Below are 20814 nucleotides of genomic sequence, written 5' to 3'. Positions count from 1 at the left end.
CTATTAGACAATAATGGGTTGGCCTTTGCAATAATATTCCAACCAATTATATTAAGGATTTCTGCTGCTTTTTCATGAGACACCCAGATGATACATTATTTCTAGTTAGTTCAATAATATGAGAAAATGAATTAAGATTTTTTATAAAATTATCCTGTGTTTCTGGATAAATCCTAAATATGAAATTCACTGTAGAATATAAATTTTTATATTTTAGAGATAGAATCTTGCTCTGTTGCCCAGGCTGGAGTGCCATGGTATAATCCTAGCTCACTTCAGCCTCCAATTCCTGGACCCAAGCGACCCTCTTGCCTCAGCCTCCTAAGTAGCTGAGACTACAGACATGCACCACCACACCTGTCTAATTTTTGTATTTTGATAGAGGTGGGGTTTTGCCGTGTTGCCCAGGCTGGTCTCTAACTCCTTGTCTCCAGCAATCCACATGCCACAGCCTGCCAAAGTGCTGAGACTATAGGCATGAGTCATCACACTGAGCCATAAGATATTTTTTGAACTCATGTGAAAGCATAGTTAAAAGCCCCACAATGGCAGGATCTGCAACAGTGAGAATTCAGATATAATGCAACTGACAACTGGCTCCCACCCTCTGCAAGAGGTTAAGCCCAGAGACATTGACTATTTTTCAACAATGTAAAATTGTGTTTCATATGATTAAAATTTTTGGACCCCACATATAACCTAAAGACAGGTTATATAGCTTAAAGGAACATATAAGCTATAAATCCCTTAATATACAAACTAGTACCAGGCACGGTGATGCATGCTTGTAATCCTAGCACTTTGGGAGGCCAAGTTGAGTGAACTACTTGAGCCCAAGAGTTGATTTTTGAAAAAGGTTTTATGGCAAGTAAGCAGAGAAGGAATGGTCTTTTCAACAGATGCTGCTGGTACATCACATGCAAAATGGTGACTTTAAACTCTTACCTCACAATATGTGCAAAAAATAACTCACAATGGATCTTACCCCTAAACATAAGAGCTAAAACTATAAATTTCAGGAAGAAGATCTAAGTCTAAACCTTTGTGACCTTAGGTTGGACAAAGATTCTTTAGATACAACACCAAGAGCATAGTAATAAAAGGAAAACTTGAAAAACTGAATTTCACCAAAACAAAAGCTTTTGAGCAATAAGGGACACCACCAAGAAAATGAAACAACTAGCCAGACAGAAGCAGTATGTGCAGAATCTTACTTCTGATAAAAGACTTGTATCCAGAGCATATCGAGAACTCCTGTAACTCGTAAAAGAAGAAAAACACAATTTTTAAATGGGCAGACACTTACATAGACATGTCACCAAAAAAAAAAAAAGTAAAACAAAATAAAATCTTCATGCCTTTGGGTTAGGCAATGGTTTCTTAAATATGAAGTCAAGGCTGGATGCAGTGGCTTATGCCTGTAATTCCACCACTTTGGGAGGCTGAGGCAGGTGGATCACGATGTCAGGAGATAGAGACCATCCTAGCTAATACAGTGAAACCCTGTCTCTACTAGAAATACAAAAACTTAGCCGGGTGTGGTGGCGGGCGCCTGTAGTCCCAGCTACTCAGGAGGCTGAGGCAGGAGAATCGCTTGAACCCAGGAGGTGGAGGTTGCGGTGAGCCGAGATCATGCCACTGCACTCCAGCCTGGGTGACAGAGCGAAACTGTCTCAAAAAAAAAAAAAAAAAAAAAATGAAGTCAAAGGCACAAGTGCCAAGAGAATAATCTGGTTTCTATCAAAATTAAAAACTTTTCTGCCTCAAAACGATACTACCAAGCAAGGGAGAAGACAACTTATATATTAAGAATAATGTAGAATTATTAGAATTGGAGAAAATATTTCCAAATCCTACACTACAGCCTGCATGAAAGTGTGACATCCTGTCTCACATGCAAATTTTTTCAAAATCATCAATCAATTAGGGACTTATATTGAGGCTATGTAAAAAACTCTTATGACTCAACAAAAGACAAACCCAATTTTAAAATGGGAAGAGGATCTAAGTAGACATTACTGCAAAAAAATTTGTAAATGACCAATAAGCGCATTGAAAGATAACACAAACCTGTAATCCAAGCACTTTGAGAAGCCTAGGCAGGTGGATTGCTTGAGCCCAGGAGTTTGACACCAGCCTGGGCAATGTGAGGAAACCCCATCTCTACAAAAAAAAAAAAAAAAATCAAAAATTAGCCAGGTATGATGGTGCACACCTGTAGTCCTAGCTACTCAAGACATGAGGCAGGAGGATCACCTGAGCCAGGAAGGTTGAGGCTGCACTCAGCCCAGATCATGCCACTGGACTCTAACCTGAGTGACAGAGTGAGACCCTGTCTCAAAAAAAAAAAGTAAAAGGTAACACAACATCAATAGTCACTAGAGAAATATAAAACAAAACAAAACAAAATACCAAAATGAGATACCACTTCACACCTATTATGATGGCTAACATCAAGAAGACAGTAAGTTGGCAGCAATGTGGAGAATCTGAACCTTCATAATGTGCTACTGGAATATACAATGGTACAGCCACTTGGGAAAACAACCGGTCAGTTTCTTAAAAGTTCAGTGTAAATGTACCCTATTCCTAGTAATTATACCCCTAGGTATATATACAAGAGATACTAAGGTATATGTCCAGACAAAAAGTTGCTCAAGTATGGTCACTGTAGCATTATTCATAACAGCAAAAAATGAAAACAACAGAATCATCAAGTGATGATTAAACAGTTGGTATGTTCATAGAATACTTAATGCTCAGCAATAAAAAGGAGCTACTGATCCACGCAACAAGCCCACTGAGCCTGAGGTGAATTATGCTCAGTGAAAAAAAACTAATTTCAATAGGAAACACACTATGTACTCAATTTCTATATCATAATTCAGAGATGGGGTCATAAAAGCATCCTAAAATTAGATTGTGATGATTGTTGCAAAATCATTTAAAAAAATGTAAGACTCTAAATTTACTATCAGTGAATTAAATACTTCAGACAGGTGAATTTTATGGTGCATCAATTATACTTCAATAAAGCTGCTAAAAATTAACCTTTTCACCACAATGAGAATAAAACAAAGGTTAACAGAAAACAAAATGTGTGTGTTTATGTACATATTATTTTCCCTTTTATCCTTACATTGTGAAGAGTATTCCAATGATATTTGTTATTTCAAAAGTCTAAAAAAAATTGACTCCAAAAGGTACCACTCTATCATTTTTTCTCTTCAAATGAAATGGCTAAACTTCCCTAAAGGAAGCTGAAATCCTTCTCATTCCCCAAGGGCTCATGTAAATGCCCTCTTCCTCATGAAATTCTTCCTGAACTATAGGAATCCAACCCCTAATGAACATTCGCAGCACTTTCTCTGAACCAGTCTTACAGCAGGGATGTGAGGCTCTTGCCATGGCCATTTTACAAACTTTTCTCCCTTCCACGAGACTCCGAGCCCTCCAAAGCCATAATGCTTATACACAGCTGTGCATCCCCTCCCCACCCAAAGCTGTGCCCAAAAATGCCATGCCTATTCAGTGACATTAGGTCATTAATCCTACTCATGATGCTTGGAAGTGGGCGCAGATCTATGATCTTATGTAGAAAACAAGTAGCTGATCTGAAAACAAAAAACAAGTCTCTACTTTTTCAGCTCAATGAACTTTTCTTGGATTATATAAATATCTAAGCAGCCCATAGGAAAATGTCTTACATCATATTCTCAAAGAAAATAAAAGAGAAACCATTAAAGTGTATTTAAATCTAGCAAAAGGGGATTAGGAAGCCAGCCAGCTATCAAGGAAGCAAAGCAATCACTAATCTAGATGCTTCTTTGGCTCTAAGAAAGATCTGCAATAAAACAAATCTAATAAAACTACACATGAATACATAAAATTAATGACAGCATGAATTTAAATGAATTGTCTTAACCAAGAATTTTTAAACTATATTAACATAAGCTGAATATTCAAATTTATATGAATAAACCATTGATGGGCACGAAGGGAGAAAGCACCTCACCTCTTAATAATAAATGAAATCCCAGCTGTGTACTCCAAAATCCATTCCAGGGTTGCAAGATCATAATTCTCAGGGTGTTTAAAGGCAACACCTTCTGGAAGCCCCTGTACTATCAAAGCTGACTGGTCTTGTAGCATCTTCTCATATGGTACAGGTACCTCTGTGGGTTTTTGTAAAGCTTTCCCTGGGAGAGGCAAAAAGCAGATAAATGTCATTAAATTTTAAGATTAAAAAACAAAATCATCACTACCTTATTGTGGCTTAATAAAGGCATACGTGATCTTTTGTAACATGTGGTTTTAAAATTACTTAACACTACAGCACCCTATTCACATGTAAGAAGTTCTAAACCTGACACCGATCCAAAGGGCCAAAATGTAAAGTATATTAAATATCTGACTTTAAAAACTACACAAAAAGAGAGAGAGATGTCTGATTTCTTGCATTATTGTCTTTAAGATGGTCCTACCCTGGCGTATTTCTTGGGTTCCTCCTAAAAGGAAGTGGAAAGTAAGGTTATTCCTCATCCATTCAGCTTGTGAAAATGTTGTTATATGATTGTTAAGTCAATGACATAACATAGTCTACCCTTTAAAAACTCTATTATATCAGGTATCTTTTATAAAATTTAAGTGTGTTGCTTTTAAGACAGCAAAAGCAGAAATAGTCCTCAACTGTTTTTTTCCGAGTGTTGCCATTTCTACAACATCTACACTCATCTGATTCACCTGGGTTGTAGACTTTATTTTACACATCTCTGCAACCTTTTCTTCTTCTTCAACACCTGTAAAAAATATTCAGGTGCATATCTATTTTCTTAATATTTATTTGGCTTTTAGTAAAAATAGTTTTTCCTATATTCCAATATTTATGATCTGTTATACAAACAAAAAATAGGTCAAGTGAAGTGGCTCACACTTATAATCCCACCACCTTGGGAGGCTGAGGCAGAATTGCTTGAGCCCAGGATTTCAAGACCAGCTTGAGCAACATAGAAACAACCTATCCCTATAAAAAAAGATTAATAAAATTAAGTGTGGTGGTGCATATCTGTAGTCCTAGCTACTTTGGAGGCTGAAGCAAGAGGATTGCTTGAGTCCAGGAATTTAAGGTTACGATGAGCTATAATTTTACCACTACATACCAGTCTGGGTCACAAAAAGAGACCCTGTGTTTAAAAAAAAAAAGGCAAGGGGAAGATCTTAAAGGGAGCTTTTAAAATACAAAGGTAAAATAAGAGTAATTTATTGGCTATAAATTTAAATATGGGAAGATTATCATCAGGAAACAAATTCTAGGCTTACAAAGTCCAGCACAATAACCACTAGACACATGTAACACTTGAAATGTGGCCAGTCCAAATTCAGATGTGCTGTAGGTGAACAATACACATTGACTTTTGAAAACTCAGCACAAAAAGTATTCCAAATATCCCATTAATAATTTCTATATTGATCACACATTGAAATATTTTAAAGTATTACCACTAAATGATTTTCACTTGTTTCCCTGTATTTTTAATGTTATAACTAGAAAGTTTTAAATCATGTGAATGACTCGCATTATATTTAGTTCTATGTAATAGCACTTCACTAAATCCTAGAAAAGGGCTCAGAATTCTCCTGAAGAATTTCTACAACTTCCTCATGAAACTATTGATTATGTTTCAGAAGAACACTATTGCAAACAAATAAAAGGTACTTGAGAATTAGGTACAAAAACCATTCTCCATGGTATCAAATTAGTAGCAATGTAAACAAACTATAAATACCAATAGGTGCGGACTACAACTCGCAATGAGGACAACTCCCCTAAGGCTTAGTTCGAATCAGTGGAGAACCATGTAAGCCACGGAGCACAGGGAGGGGAGAATAAACACAGCTGCCCGCGAGATTGTGGTATTTGTGGGTCAGAGGGCAGGTGATACACACAATCAAAACAGCATTATTAGTATAAAGAAACACACAATCAAGGACTTAACATTTCTCAAAACTAAAATATTGGCAAAATTTAAAAAATAGGTTACTACCATAAAGCTTGGAAGATTATAACACAGGTGGTGAGGGGAGGGATACAGTGGCGAGGATAGTTTTTTTAAGAAACTAAAAATACTACTGGGAATAGGAATTAGTGAATTAGCAAAATTTTTAATTCACTAGTAATGTGCTCAATTTATCATGAATTGAATCTAATCTGACAACGCAAATTTAAGTTTAAAGCTTAGTGGCATACAGACATCTGTGGGAGATACCGTAGGTTCAATTCCAGACCACCATAATCATGGAAGTATAAAGTGAAGTTACACAAATGTCTTCATTTCCCAATGCATTTAAAAGTTAGTTGAATCTTTCTTTCACAAAAGATCTCTGGGAGGTATGATGCTATTGGATAGCATTTTACACACAGTGGAACTTCTTTCCAAATCGGAATCAATCCTCTGAAAGCCTGCCATTGCTTTATGAAGTAAATTTATGGAATATTCTAAATCTTTTGTCATTTCAACAATATTCACGACATCTACACCAGGAGTAGGTTCCATTTCAGAGACGACTTTCTTTGCTCATTGTAAGAAGCAACTCCTTATCTGTTCATGTTTGATCATGAAATTGCAGCAGTTCAGTCCCATCTGCAGGCTCCTTTTTTTTTTTTTTTTTTTTTTTTGAGACAGAGTTTCACTCTTGTTGCCCAGGCTGGGGTGCAATGACAGGATCTCCACTCACTGCAACCTCTGCCCCCTGGGTTCAAGTAATTCTCCTGCCCCAGCCTCACAAGTAGCTGGGATTACAGGCGTGCACCACCATGCCCGGCTAGTTTTGTATTTTTAGTAGAGATGGGCTTTCTCCATGTTGGTCAGGCTGGTCTCAAACTCCTGACCTCAGGTGATCCCACCTTGACCTCCCAAAGTGCTGGGATTATAGGCATGAGCCACTGTGCCCAGCCAGCAGGCTTCACTTCTAATTCTAGTTCACATGCTATTTCCACCACATCTGCAGTTCCTTCGTCCTCTAAAATCCCGAACCCCTTAAAGTCACCTATGAGAGATGGAATCAACTTCTTCCACCAGTCTTGTTAATGTTAATTTTGTTCTCTTCCCATGAATCACAAATGTTCTTAATGGCACCTAGAACAGTAAATCTTCCCCAGAAGGTTTTTAATTTACTTTGCCCAGATCCATCAGAGGAATCACTATCTCTGGCAGCTATGGCCTTACAAAATGTAATTATTTCTTTTTTTGAGATGGAGTCTTGCTCTGTTGCCAGGCTGGAGTGCAGTGGTGCGATCTCGGCTCACTGGAACCTCTGACTTCCTGGTTCAAGTGATTCTCCTGCCTCAGACACCTGAGTAGCTGGGATTACAGGCACACACCACCACGCCCAGCTAATTTTTGTGTTTTTAGTAGAGATGGGGTTGCACCATGTTGATCAGGCTGGTCTCGATCTCCTGACCTTGTGATCTGCCTGCCTTGGCCTCCCAAATCGCTGGGATTACAGGCATGAGACACCACGCCTGGCCTACAAAATATATTTCTTAAAGAATAAAACTTGAAGGCTGAGTGCAGTGGCTCACACCTGTAATCCCAAGCTCTAAAGAAGGCCAAGGTGGGCAGATTGCTTGAACTCAGAAGTTTGAAACCAGCCTAGACAACATGGAAACAAAACATCTCTGCAAAAAAAAACCCTACAAAAATTAGCCAGGCATGCTGGTACACCACCTGTGGTCCGAGCTATTCAGCAGGCTGAAGTGGGAGGATCACCTGAGCCTGAGAAGACTGAGGCTGCAGTGAGCTGTGAATGTGCCATTACACTCAAGCCTGAACAACAGTAAGATGACCTTCTCAAAAAAGAAAATAATAATTATCATAAGACTTGAAATTACTCCTAAATCCATGGGCTGCAGAATGGATGCTGCATTAGCAGGCATGAAAATGATATTCATGTCTTTGTACAACCTCCATCAGGGCTCTCAGAGGGACTGGGTGCAGTGTTAATGAGCAGTAATATTTTGAAAGGAACTTTTTTTTCTGGGCAGTCAGTCTCAAAAGTAGGCTTAAAATATTCAGTGAACAATGCTATAAAGAGATATGCTGTCATCCAGGCTTTACTGTTCCACTGATAGAGCACATGCAGAGCAGATTTAGCATAGCTCTTAAGGGCCCTAGAATTTTTGGAATGGTAAATGAGCACTGGCTTCAGTTAAAGTCATCAGCTGCATTAGCCCCTAACCAGAGTCTCAGCCTGTCCTTTGAAGCTTTGAAGCCAGTAATGGAATTCTCTCTAGCTAGCAAAGTCCCAGAAGGCATCTTCCAATATAAAGCTGTTTTGTCTACATTAAAAATCTGTTTTTTGGGTGTAGCCATCTTCATGAATTATCTCAGCGAGATCTTCTGAAGAACTTGAAGTTCCTACATCAAGCACTTGCTGCTCACTTTGCACTTTTATATTATACAGACTGTGTCTTTCTTTAAACCTTATGAGCCAACCTCTGCTAGCTTTCAGCTTTTCTTTTGCAGCTTACTCACCTCCTCTCAGCCACCACAGAATTGAAGAGAGTTAGGGCTTTGTTCTGGATTAAGCTTTGACTTACAGGAATGTTGTGGCCAGTTTGACCTTCTATCCAGACCACTCAAAATTTCTCCGTATCAGCAATAAGGCTGTTTTGCTTTTTTATCATTTGTGGGTTCACTGGAGCAGCACTTCTCATTTCCTTCAATAACTTTTCCTGTGCATTCACCACCTGGCAAACTGTTTGGCCTAGCTTTCAGCTGCCAACATGTCTTCCTCACTAAGCTTCATCATTTTTAACTTGATTTAAAGTGAGCAGACTGCAACTCTTTCTTTTACATGAACACTTAGAGGCCACTGGAGGGCTGTTAACTGGCCTCATTTCAATATTGTGTCTCACGGACTAGGGAGGCGTTAGGAGAGGAAGCGATGGGAAACCACCTGACTGGTGGATCAGTCAGAGCACACAACATTTGCCAATGAGGTTTGCCATCTTATATGGGTGCATTCATGGAGTCCAAAACAATTACAACAGTAACATCAACGCTCACTGATCGCAGGTCACCACAGCACATATAATAATCATGAAAAAGTTTGAAATATTCTAATATTCTAAGAGTAACCAAATGTGACACAGAGAACCAAAGAGAGCACATGCTGTTGGAAAAATGGCACAAAAGACTTGCTTGACACAAGATTCCCACAAATCTTCAATTTGTAAAAACTGCAGTATCTGCAGGGCTCAAAAAAATGAGTTATGCCTGTATGTATTCTGTGCCTATAGACGCCCTGCCTTTTTTTGTTCCCTTTCAGTGTTTCACTCAGTTAACATGAAACCTATCGACAGTGTTAGGTTACACACAGATATGAAAACTGTCATACTGTGAAAGGCCATAAGTATTAACACCCTATAGTAAATTTTAATACTGTGTTCCAATGTCAAATAAGCTCATTGCTCTAAACGAGGATTACAAAACCCACTGAAGATTCAGATAAGGTGATTCCACTTAGCAAATTGAGAACTGTTTAATTCTGCATCATGCTTAAACAAACTCCTTTGCACAGTGAATTTCTTGTTTTCAGTTCACCACCTTTATCTAGAACTCCATATCTGAGTATGAACGTTTAATGTATTCAAAATTTCTCTCCCTTCATTATCTTCTAATGCATCTCATTAATCCAGAGTGAAGCCAAGCAAGGAGCCCCGTACAATCAACACTTGCCATTGTTCTTAACTCTTCAGTATCTACCCTGACATATCACCACTTCAGTGATTCCTTTTAAGCATTTTGAAATGTCTTCATAAACATTTCAGAAAATCATTCATAGTTTAGGCCGTGCACAGTGGCTCACACCTGTAATCCCAGCACTTTGAGAGGCCGAGGTGAGTGGATCTTTTGAAGTCAGGAGTTCAGTACCAGCTTGACCAACATGGTGAAACCCCATCTCCACTAAAAATAGAAAAAAAAAATTAGCTGGGTGTGGTGCCACGTGCCTGTAATCCCAGCTACTCAGGAGGCTGAGGATTTGCTTGAACTCAGGAAGCAGAGGTGGCAGTGAGCCGAGACCTCACCACTGCACTCTGCCTAGACAACAGAATGAGACTCCACCTCAAAAAAAAATTTTTTTTATAGTTTAAACCTCATTCTGCTTTAGAAGCAAATATGACTAGTGTTATCTATAAATATTTAGGTTTAAAAACAATGAAATAAAAATGATAACAATACAATGCTTACAATATTTCACAAAATCGGCTTGAAAATCCTTTCTGGTATTGAAAAAATTGTGTCCTCTGTCCTTCAGTTCTGAAGGCAAAGAGATCTGCTTTATACTCTGTGATGCAGGCCACTTTGGCCTTAAACTTGGCCAGTTCTTTAAAGTATAATAAGAACAGCAAATATTATGTTAAAGGCAGACATTTAAAAGCACCATTTCTGCTAGATGAATTAAAAAATCTAACACAAGCCTGGGCACAGCACCTCATGCCTTGTAGTTCCAGCACTTTGGGAGGCCAAGGCGGGTGGATCACGAGGTCAGGAGTTTGAGAAAAGGCTGGCCAACACAGTGAAACCCCATCTGTACTAAAAATGCAAATAATAATAATAATAATAACAAATAAATAAATAAAAGGCTGGGTGTGGTGGCTCATGCCTGTAATCCTAGCTACTTGGGAGGCTGAGGCAGGAGAATCACTTGAACCTGGGAGGCAGAGGTTGCAGTGAGTTGAGATCATGCCAATGCACTCCAGACTGGGCAACAGTGCAAGACTCTGTTTAAAAAAAAAAAAAAATCTAACACCATTTTTTAAAGTTACTACTCTTTCTAAATAGATTTTTGCCTGATTTTAAGCAAAAGACACCACAAGATTTGTAAGAAAAAAATGCAGAAATCCCTTGTAATCTATTACAGGTCAGATACTCCAAGAAAGAGACTGAGATTTCACACAGGCTTGCTGGGGAGCACTGCCAATAACAGCACCCAGGAGGAGGGAGGCAGGCATGGCTGAACAGGCAAAGTGCTGAACAGGGATGCAGCTGCACCAAGAGCTCAGAAGCCAGTGTGGCCCTCCCCAGGGAAAAGGTGGACAAGGTGACTCGAACACTCGCAGCAGCTGGGGAAATTAGTGCCATCAGAATTGAAAGAAGGGACTGAAACCCACACTACAGTATTCAGTACATAATCCCCTCCTCCAGAAGTATTACCCCATCTACACATAGCCAGAATCACATTTAGGTGATTACTTACTGACTTTCACTAAGAATATTTCTATGAGAGTCAAATTATTTAAAAATGTTATAGAGTACATAGTATTCCATTTTATGGATACACCATAATTCCTTTAGTGCTAGCATCATTTCAAAGGTCAGTGATTCCAATTTTCCCTCCTAAAAATAACACTACTGTAATAACCTGGGAAGCAAATATTTATGTACATCTTCAGTGACTTTCTCAAAAAAGACATGAGAGTCAAGAAAAACAACCATTAAGAGTCAATACTCCAAATACTCAAAATCTACTAAAATTTGCTTTCTAATAAGGTTCATAATATCCTAGCAAATGTTACCATGTGACTTTTCCAGAAACCTTGAAAAAGGGTATCTTAGTGTCATAAACATACTCCACTGATTGGTGTTAAAATTAAAGAGTATCGTAGCATAATTTTCTGCAAATTACCATTTCTTTTGTCTATTTATCAAATGTGTTAGTGTATCTCCAACTGACCCATAGAGGTACATCACTTATTTTAGGCATAGAAAGGCCATTTATGGAATTAAATAATTATACAATAATTACATATATTTTGTTTTGGTTTTAAAATTTGTCTCAGTATAACTATTTTTGCTCATCTAGAATTTAACTCATCACATGATGAAGACTATACATTGAAGCTTGTTTTTACCACAATTTTTACTTTTTACCAAATAGCCTATTTTCTCAGTATCATTTGTTGAAAACTGTAAGCTTTCCAGTATTTGTTTTTGATTTGTACAATAAATGCCCTCTAATTTCTTAAATGGAGATTATTTCAGCATAATATTGCTTTAAAATGTTATCCTCAGTAACTAATTTAGCAGCTAGTGAGGTGATCAGAAATCTTTTGAGCTATAATAAAGCCATGGTAGAGAACTTCTGACTTGGAGGTGGGCCAACAACTGCCCCAGCGTGAAGAATGATGAGCCTCAGTAATTTCCTTCCGTTGCACTTACATGACATGTGCTGTGGCTACTCTCCTGTAAGGAACTATTATTTACTTACCTTGTGGTAAATGAGGGTACATTCTTGCTTCAGTATCCACACTCTAAAACAATCCTGTCAACAAAGGCAATGTTTATGAAAGAGTAAGCAAGATTCATGTACTATCCATAGATTAGATAAAACAAGTCTACCAGCCAAGGAAGAGATAAAGTCAGCTTGGATCTGCTTAGCACTCTGACAAGCCAGTGAAAAACTCAGCAGTTTCTACAACTTTAATTATACCGTGTAATATACAACTAGGAATAGGAGGAGAAATGGTCTTACTAATAATGCTGGCAAGGAAGACATAAAAGCTGAGAATAGTGAAATGACTATGCCAAAGATGAGGGAACTGTTAAGAAACTCTAAGGAAGTGAATGGATCTTACATGGCCTTATGGTATTCTTTGCAGAGATCAATATTTAAAAAAAATATTTTATTATCAACAGAACAGCATTTCATCTCTAAATTTTTATTTAACATTAAAGTCACAAATTTTGCCTGGTTTTATGATCACAAGGCAGAAACAAGTCATTCATAAAATAACAACATATAACCACCAACCATTCTAAAATTTCTTTAAGGAGATAATTTTATAAAGTTCTTAAAACATTTTTTTAATGCCCTAATAAGAAAACAAAACAGATGGCCAAGCACAGATGCTCAAGCCTGTAATCTGAGCACTATGGGAGGCTGAGGCAGGAAAGTCACTTGAACCCAAGAGGTCAAGGCTGCACTGAGCTATGATCATGCCACTGCCCTCCAACCTAAAAGAGTCAGATCCTGTCTCAAAAAAATGAAAAAAAAGCATCCACAAACTTTGTCACACAGAGTTCTGTGAGGTTAAGCACCACCTAAATACTTTTCACCCACTTAAGAGGAGGAAAATGCATACTCCTGCTTAAAACATTTACATTTAATATGTCAGAAAACACCTAAGGCCATGCATGGTGGCTCATACCTGTAATTCCAACACTTTGGGAAGCCAAGACAGGACAATTGCTTGAACCCAGGAGTTTAAGACAAACCTGGGCAACGTAAAGAAACCCTGTCTCTACAAAAAAGCTTAAAAATTAGCTAGGCCAGGAACAGTGGCTTATGCCTGTAATCTCAGGACTTTGAAAGGCAGAGGTGGAATTGATTGAGCTCTAGAGTTACAGACCAGCCTGGGCAATATATTAAGACCTCATCTCCACTAAAAAGCAAAACAAAGTAGCCAGATGTGGTAGCACATGCCTACAGTCCCACCTACTCTGAGGCTGAGGTGGGAAGACCACTTCAACCCAGGATGTCCAGGCTGCAGTGAGCCATGATTACACCACTGCATTCCAGTCTGGACAAGAGAGTAAGATCCTTTCTCAAAAAAAAAAAAAAAAAAAAAAAAGGTTAAAAAAAAAAAGAAAATACCTAAGTCTGATACTTTTTCTTTTTTTTTTTGAGACAGAGTCTCACTCTGTCGCCCAGACTGGAGTGCAGTGGCACGATCTTGGCTCACTGCAAGCTCCACCTCCCAGGTTCATGCCATTCTCCTGCCTCAGCCTCCCGAGTAGCTGGGACTACAGGCATCCGCCACCACACCCAGCTAATTTTTTTTGTATTTTTAGTAGAGACGGGGTTTCACCGTGTTAGCCAGGATGGTCTCAATCTCCTGACCTCGTGATCCACCCTCCTTGGCCTCCCAAAGTGTTGTGATTACTGGCGTGAGCCACCGTACCCAGCCACCTGATACTTTTTATAATAAATACTATTTCCAACTACATACCCATAAAAATATAAATTAATTGTATAACTACCATGATAGTAATATAAAAATACAAAACTACATAATCAGTACTCAATATTTCACTGTAATTATGCATATGATAGGCTTTTTTTTTTTTAAGTAAAGAGCTGGCCAGGTGCGGTGGCTCTCACCTGTAATCCCAGCAATTTGGGAGGCCAAGGCAGACAGATCACTTGAGCTCGGGAGTTTAAGACAAGCCTTGCCAACATTGTGAAAACCCATCTTTAGCAAAAATACAAAAATTAGCTGAGTGTGGTGGCACACATCTGCAGTCCCAGCTACTGGAAAGGCTGTCAGGAGAATCACTTGAGCCTGGGAGGCAGAGGTTGCAGTGAGCTAAGATCGCACCACTGCACTCCTCCTTGGGTGACAGAGTGAGATTCCGGAAAAAAAAAAAAAGAAACATAAACAGCTAACACTAAACAATTTAGAAAGAGGTGGTTAATGCAATAGTGAATGTGTAAGCAGAAGAAATATAGATACACAATAGTAAAGATGCCCTCATGACCCCAAATTCTGGGAATCTTCTACATATTGATACAATAAAACTCCAGCCCCATACTCTAGTATATAAACTCATTCTGAGTAACCACAAATATTATACATAATTTCAAAATTCACACTTACAAAAACAAAAGATTGCCTAAAATAATGGTAGAAAATTATTTGAGATTCAAAGTAAAAATTAAACATTCTGAAGCATGGTAATAAAATGTCATTTGAAAGCCATAACTGCTATTCAAGAAAAAAAAACTACTCCTTAAAACTAAAAAGACATAAAATTATATCTTCTACAAAAACAAATCAACCTTATCTACAGCCCAGTTCTACCCAACTATGGAATGTCAGAATAGAAGGTCTCACCATGGACTCAAGAGCTGACATGAGGAATGTCACTACCATCCTGCTGAGGACTCCTCATCTTCAACGGCCAGGGTGGACACTGTTACTTGGGCCATGATCTTTGTGCAAGACAAGTAATAAGAAAATCAGTGGTAGAAATGTGGTGTTCCAAATCCACATTCAGAGCTCTGAGGATCTCCCACTGGCTGCCTAATTTACTGTTTTCTTACCTAAGAGAAAAAACAAGACTAAAAAACTAAGTATATGATTTGCCTGAAACTCTCATCAGATAGAGAATCTACCCCCTAACTTCCTATCTAGTGTTATTTCAATAACATTGGGTTAATATCACACCCAAAATAAATGCAGATGGCACTCAGAATCAGTGAAATTTCTCCCAAGAAGGAGGAGGAGGAGAGGTGCTTTACAACCCAGTGATGGACTACCACAGACCAATGCAGGACAGAGCTGCCAAGCTCCCTCTCTCCCCTGCACATCCTGACACAGCAAAGGGTGGGTGCAGTGGACTGAGGATGGGCAGAGAGAAGTTTCTCTTCTTACTGTGAAAATAGATCACGGGCACCAAGAAACAAATAAGATGATTTATATTACAGCATATTGCTCTATTTGAAAAACTTTTTATAATATTTTGGTAATTACAAAGACCCTCAAATGAATTTCAAACACTTTAAATATTCAACACATAAACAGAAAATATTAAATGTCAGCAAGGATATCGAAAAACTGGACCCTTTATGCACTGCTTTTTGGAATGTAACTGGTGCAGCCCCTGTGGAAAATGGTTTGGCAGCTCCTTAAAATATTAAGCATAGAATTATCACATAATCCAACAACTCCCTTTCAGGGTATATACCCAAAAGAACTGAGAGCAAGGACTCAAACAGGTATTTGTACACTCATGTTCATAGCAACATTATTCACAATGGCGAAAAGGTACAACCAACCCTACTGCCCATCAATAGGTAAATAGATAAGCAAAATGTGATATACACACATACATGAAATATTATTCAGCTGTATAAAGAAAAAACAATTCTGGCCAGGCTCAGTGACTTACCCCTGTAATCTCAGCACTTTGGGAGGCCGAGGCAGGCAGATCACTTGAGCCCAGGAATTCCAGATCAGCCTGGGCAAAATAGCAAGACCTCATCTCTGTAAGTTTTTTTTTAAAAAATTCTGATACTGCTATAGATGAACCTTGATAGCACTATGCAATCTATGCATGTAACAAAATTGCACTTACACTCCACAAATGTATGTAAAGTTGTTTTAAAATGGGGAATTCATCAAGGAAGAAATGTGAACCACGGAGAACAAAGAGGAGTGAGACAGAAAAGCCACCCACCCAGAATTGGTGTGGATCCCAGCGGGGGTTCCCCACGGCAGGAAAATAGTGAGCAAGAGCCACTGGTGACTCACCTTTCTGCCATCGACTTTTGAAATCCTGGGCACAGAAAATCCCCCGACACCCTCCCCTCAGGGCTCCTCAACTGACACAGAGAACTGCATGGAGTCTGGGCAGAGCCTCCAGTCAGGCCCACATGGAACCCTAAGGGCCTTGGACCCCTGAGCACCATAGTGCCAGCTGCTATAGTTCTGCCACCAGAAGAGGCCAGACTCTCTCACATGCCCCCAGGATAGGGGCCATATCTACAGTGCTGAGGAGGAGACAGACTCACCTCCTGTCTCTGCTCTACCTCCTGTAGCGGCCTCACCTCCACTACACCTCTCCTGGTAGTGCCCACTGGCCTGGGTCCCAGTGCAGCCACTTACCCTCTGCCTGAGCACTCAGGCTAATTGCAACTCTGCAGACTGACCTCCTAGAGGTAACTATCAGGCCTACTGTTTTTGCAACTGCCATGGTCCCTGCCTCTACCTCTCCTAGGCTAGGGAGGGACTGAAGAGCCCAAGAACTATCATAGGCTTCTTAGCACACCACAGCTGCCTTACAGAAAGTGGGCAAACTGTATCCACGTGGGTCCCCCTCCCTGCTATGCCTCACTGGGTAGGGTCTCCTGATCTGGGCCCCCAGCACAGCCATCCTGCACCCCCACCCTGAAGGACTGCTTCATTCAGTGGCATCTCTGCATCTCTCTGAGATGGAGCTTTCAGGGGTAACCCACGGGCTCTCTGCCATTGCCACTGTAGCAGTACCACCACTGCTGCCCTTGGCCTGGGGAAAGAATAAAGACCCTGATTGCTTTGCCAGCACCTCCAGTGTGCCACAGCCACCAGTTGGAGAGAAGCCCAGTTTCTCTTCTCTGTGAGCTTCTGGCAACCTGCTCTTCACCAGAAGGAGGCCCAGGTTTAAGCCCACAGTTCAGCCACCTCACCCTTGGCTGAACATTCTCATTGGCAGTGGCTCTGCGTCTCTCTGGGGTGGAGTTCCCAGAGGCAACTGAGAGCCCTTTTGCCATTACTGCTGCAGTGATACTGCCCTTGCTGCCCTCAGGCTGGGGAAGAAACAAAGTGCCTGAGTGCTTTGCTCACACCTCCAGCAGGCCACAGGCACCATATGGAGGGAAGCCCAGTCTCTCTTCCCTGTTGGCCCCAAATCCCCTGCTCTTCACTAGACAGGGGTCCCAGCTTGGGCTCACAATGCAGCTGCTCCATTTCTGACTGATCATTCTGATTGGCAGAGCTCTGCACGTCTCTGATGTGGTACCCCAAGAGACAACAGAAAGGCTTTCTGCCATTGCCATTGCCAAGGTCCCCAACACTGCTGCTCCCAAGCTGGGGAGAAAAAGAAAAGCCTGAGTTCACCCCAGAGCTATGGTGCACAGGGCTATGGGATGGGAGTGCCAAGCCAAGACCTATGGCTAGTACTCAAGTGGAGGACCAGCATAAAATTGCTGAAATGACAGACAGAGAATTCAGAACCTGGATGCCAATGAAGATCTTCAAGATTCAGGAGAAAGTTGAAACCCATTTCAAGGAATCTAAAAAATTCAGCAAAACTATTCAAGAGATGAGAGATGAAATAACCTTCTTAAGAAGGAACAAAACTGATCTGATAAAGCTGAAAAACTCACAAAAAGAATTTTGTAATACAATCAGAAATATTAACACCAGACGAGACCAAGCTGAGGGAAGAATCTCAGAGCTCAAAGACCAGTTCTTTGAATTAATTCAGTCAGACAAAAATAACTGAAAAAGATTGTTTTTCATGAACAAAACCTTTGAGAAATATGGGATTATGTGAAGATGCCAAATCTACAACTCATTGGCATCTCTAAGAGAAAGGAAGACAGAACGAGTAACTTGGAAAACATTTTTTAGGATACTGTCCATAAGAATTTTCTTAACTTTCCTAGAGAGGTTGAAATTCAAATTCAGAAAATTCAGGGGACCCCTGGGAGATAGTACACAAGATAACCATACCCAAGACATGTAGTCATCAGATTCTCCAAGGTCTGTGTGAAAGAAAAAATATTAAAGGCAGCTGGAGACAAGGTGCAGGTCACTTATAAAGGGAACTCCATTAGGCTATCTGCAGACCTTCCAGCAGAAACTGTACAAGACAAAAGCAATTGGGGGGCCTATATTCAGCATTCTCAAAGAAAACAAACTCCAACCAAGAATCTAATCACACCAAACTAAAACTTCATAAACAAAAGATAAAAGATATCCTTTCAGACAAGCAAATGCTAAGGGAATTCATTACCACCAAACCTGCCTTAAAAGAGATTCTTAAGAGTATGTTAAACATGGAAAAGAAAGACTATTACTGGCCACCACAAAAAACACACTGAAGTACATGGGCTATTTATACTATAATGTAAATACACAATCAAGTTTACATAACAAACAGCTAACAACACAATGTCAGGGTCAAATCTGCACATATCAGTATTAACCTCGAAAAAGAATGTGCTGAATACCCCACTGAAAAGGCGCAGAGTGACAAGTTAAATAAAGAAGCAAGACCCAACTGTATGCTGTCTTCAAGAGACCGATCTCACATGCAAGGACATCCACAGGCTCAAAGAAAACAGATGGAGAAAGACCTACCAAGCAAACAGAAAACAAAAAAGAGCAGAAGTTACTATTCTTTTTTCAGACAAAACAGACTTTAAATTAACAATGATCAAAAAAGACAAAGAAGGGCATTTCATGATAATGGGTTCAATTCAGTAAGAAGACTTAACTATCCTAAATGTTAATTATATGCACCCAACATTGGAGCACCCAGATTCATAAATCAAGTTCCTAGAGACTTATGAAGAGACTTAGATAACCACACAATAATACTGGGAGACTTTAAAACCCCACTGAAAGCACTGGACAGATCACCAAGGCAGAATATATTTAGGACCTAAACTTGACACTTAACCAAATGGACCTAACAGTCATCTACAGAACACTCAAGCCAGCAAAACCAGAATGTACATTCTTCTCACCTGCACATGACACATACTCTACAACTGACCACCACACACTTGGCCATAAGGCAACTCACAACATATTCTAAAGAATCAAAATCATACCAACCACACTATCTATCGGACCACAGTGCAATAAAAATAGGTATCAATACCAAGTAGATCTCTCAAAACCATACAATTTAATAAAAAATTAAATAAGCAGCTGCTGGTGACTTTTGGGTAACGAATAAAATTAAGGCTGGAATCAATAAATTATGTGAAACTAACAGAAACAAAGATGCAACATACCTATATCACTGAGAAACTGTTTAAAAAAAGTGTTAAAGGGAAAGTTTGTAGCACTAAATACCCACATTAAAAAGTTAGAAAGACATCAAATTGAGAACCTAACATTGTATCTTTTTATTTTATTTATTTATTTTTGAGACGGAGTCTTGCCCTGTCACACAGGCTGGAGTGCAGTGGAGCAATCTCAGCTCACTGCAACCTCCATCTCCCGGGTTCAAGCAACTCTCCTGTCTCAGCCTAGCTGAGACTACAGGTGTGTGCCACCATGCCCAGCTAATTATTTTCTTTTTAGTAGAGACGGGGTTTCACCATATTGGTCAGGCTGGTCTCAAACTCCTGACCTCAGGTGATCCACCCACCTCGGCCTCTCAAAGTGCTGGGATTACAGGCATGAGCCACTGTGCCAGGTGATATCTGGAGGAAACAGAAATGTAACAGCAAATCAACCCCAAAGCTAGAAGACAAGAAATATCAAAGCTGAACTGAATGAAACAGAGATCAAAAAAAAAAACACTGTACAAAAATCCAGTGAAACTTATTTCTGAAAGAATAAATAAGATTGTTAGACTGCTAGCTAAAGAAAAAAGGATGATCTACCTAAACATGATAAAAAGTGACAAAGGAAATATTATCACTGATGCCACAGAAATACATGAAACCATTAGAGACTGTTATGAACACCTTCATGCACACAAACTAGAAAACACAGAAGAAGTGGATAAATACCTGGAAACATATAAACCCCCAAGACTGAATCAGGAAGAAATTAAAATCCTGAACAGACCAATACTGACTTCTGAAACTGAATCAATAATAAAAAGCCTACCAGAAAAACTCTGGACCAGATGGATTCACAGCCAAATTCTACCACACATATAAAGAAGAGCTGGTACCAGTTTTACTGAAACTATTCCAAAAAAAGGAGGAGGAAAGACTTCTTCCTAACTCATTCTATGAGGCCAGCATCATTCTGAAACCAAAACCTAGCAGATATGGGAAAAAAAAAAAAAAAAAAAGCAAATTGGGCTGGGCATGGTGGCTCACGCTTATAAACCCAGCACTTTGGGAGGCAGAGGCAAGCAGATCACCTGAGGTCAGGAGTTCGAGACCAGCCCAGCTAACATGGTGAAACTCCGTTTCTACTAAAAATAGAAAAAATTAGTTGGGCATGGTGGTACAGGGCTGTAGTCCCAGCGACTTGGGAGGCTGAGACAGGAGAATCCCTTGAACATGGGAGGTGAA

At 39.6% G+C, this 20814-nt stretch overlaps 1 pseudogene across 1 annotated transcript in view; it reads right to left on the bottom strand.

The window, feature by feature from the left end:
• Positions 1 to 3810: 3810 nt before the first annotated feature.
• GTF2IP8 (general transcription factor IIi pseudogene 8) overlaps positions 3811 to 20814 on the bottom strand; it is a 63889-nt pseudogene continuing 46885 nt past the window's right edge. The window contains exons 6-9 of the transcript XR_007066431.1: positions 10254 to 10389; positions 4666 to 4799; positions 4016 to 4199; positions 3811 to 3844 (exon numbers count right to left, since the gene is read on the bottom strand). The product of XR_007066431.1 is annotated as a general transcription factor IIi pseudogene 8, transcript variant X1 (transcript). The remainder of the gene's footprint in view (positions 3845 to 4015; positions 4200 to 4665; positions 4800 to 10253; positions 10390 to 20814) is intronic.

The sequence above is a fragment of the Homo sapiens genome, chromosome 18 (assembly GCF_000001405.40).
Source record: "Homo sapiens chromosome 18, GRCh38.p14 Primary Assembly".
Taxonomy (NCBI): domain Eukaryota; kingdom Metazoa; phylum Chordata; class Mammalia; order Primates; family Hominidae; genus Homo; species Homo sapiens.
The sequence above is the reverse complement of the archived record's forward strand: the minus strand, read 5'-3'. Positions and strand labels throughout refer to the sequence as shown.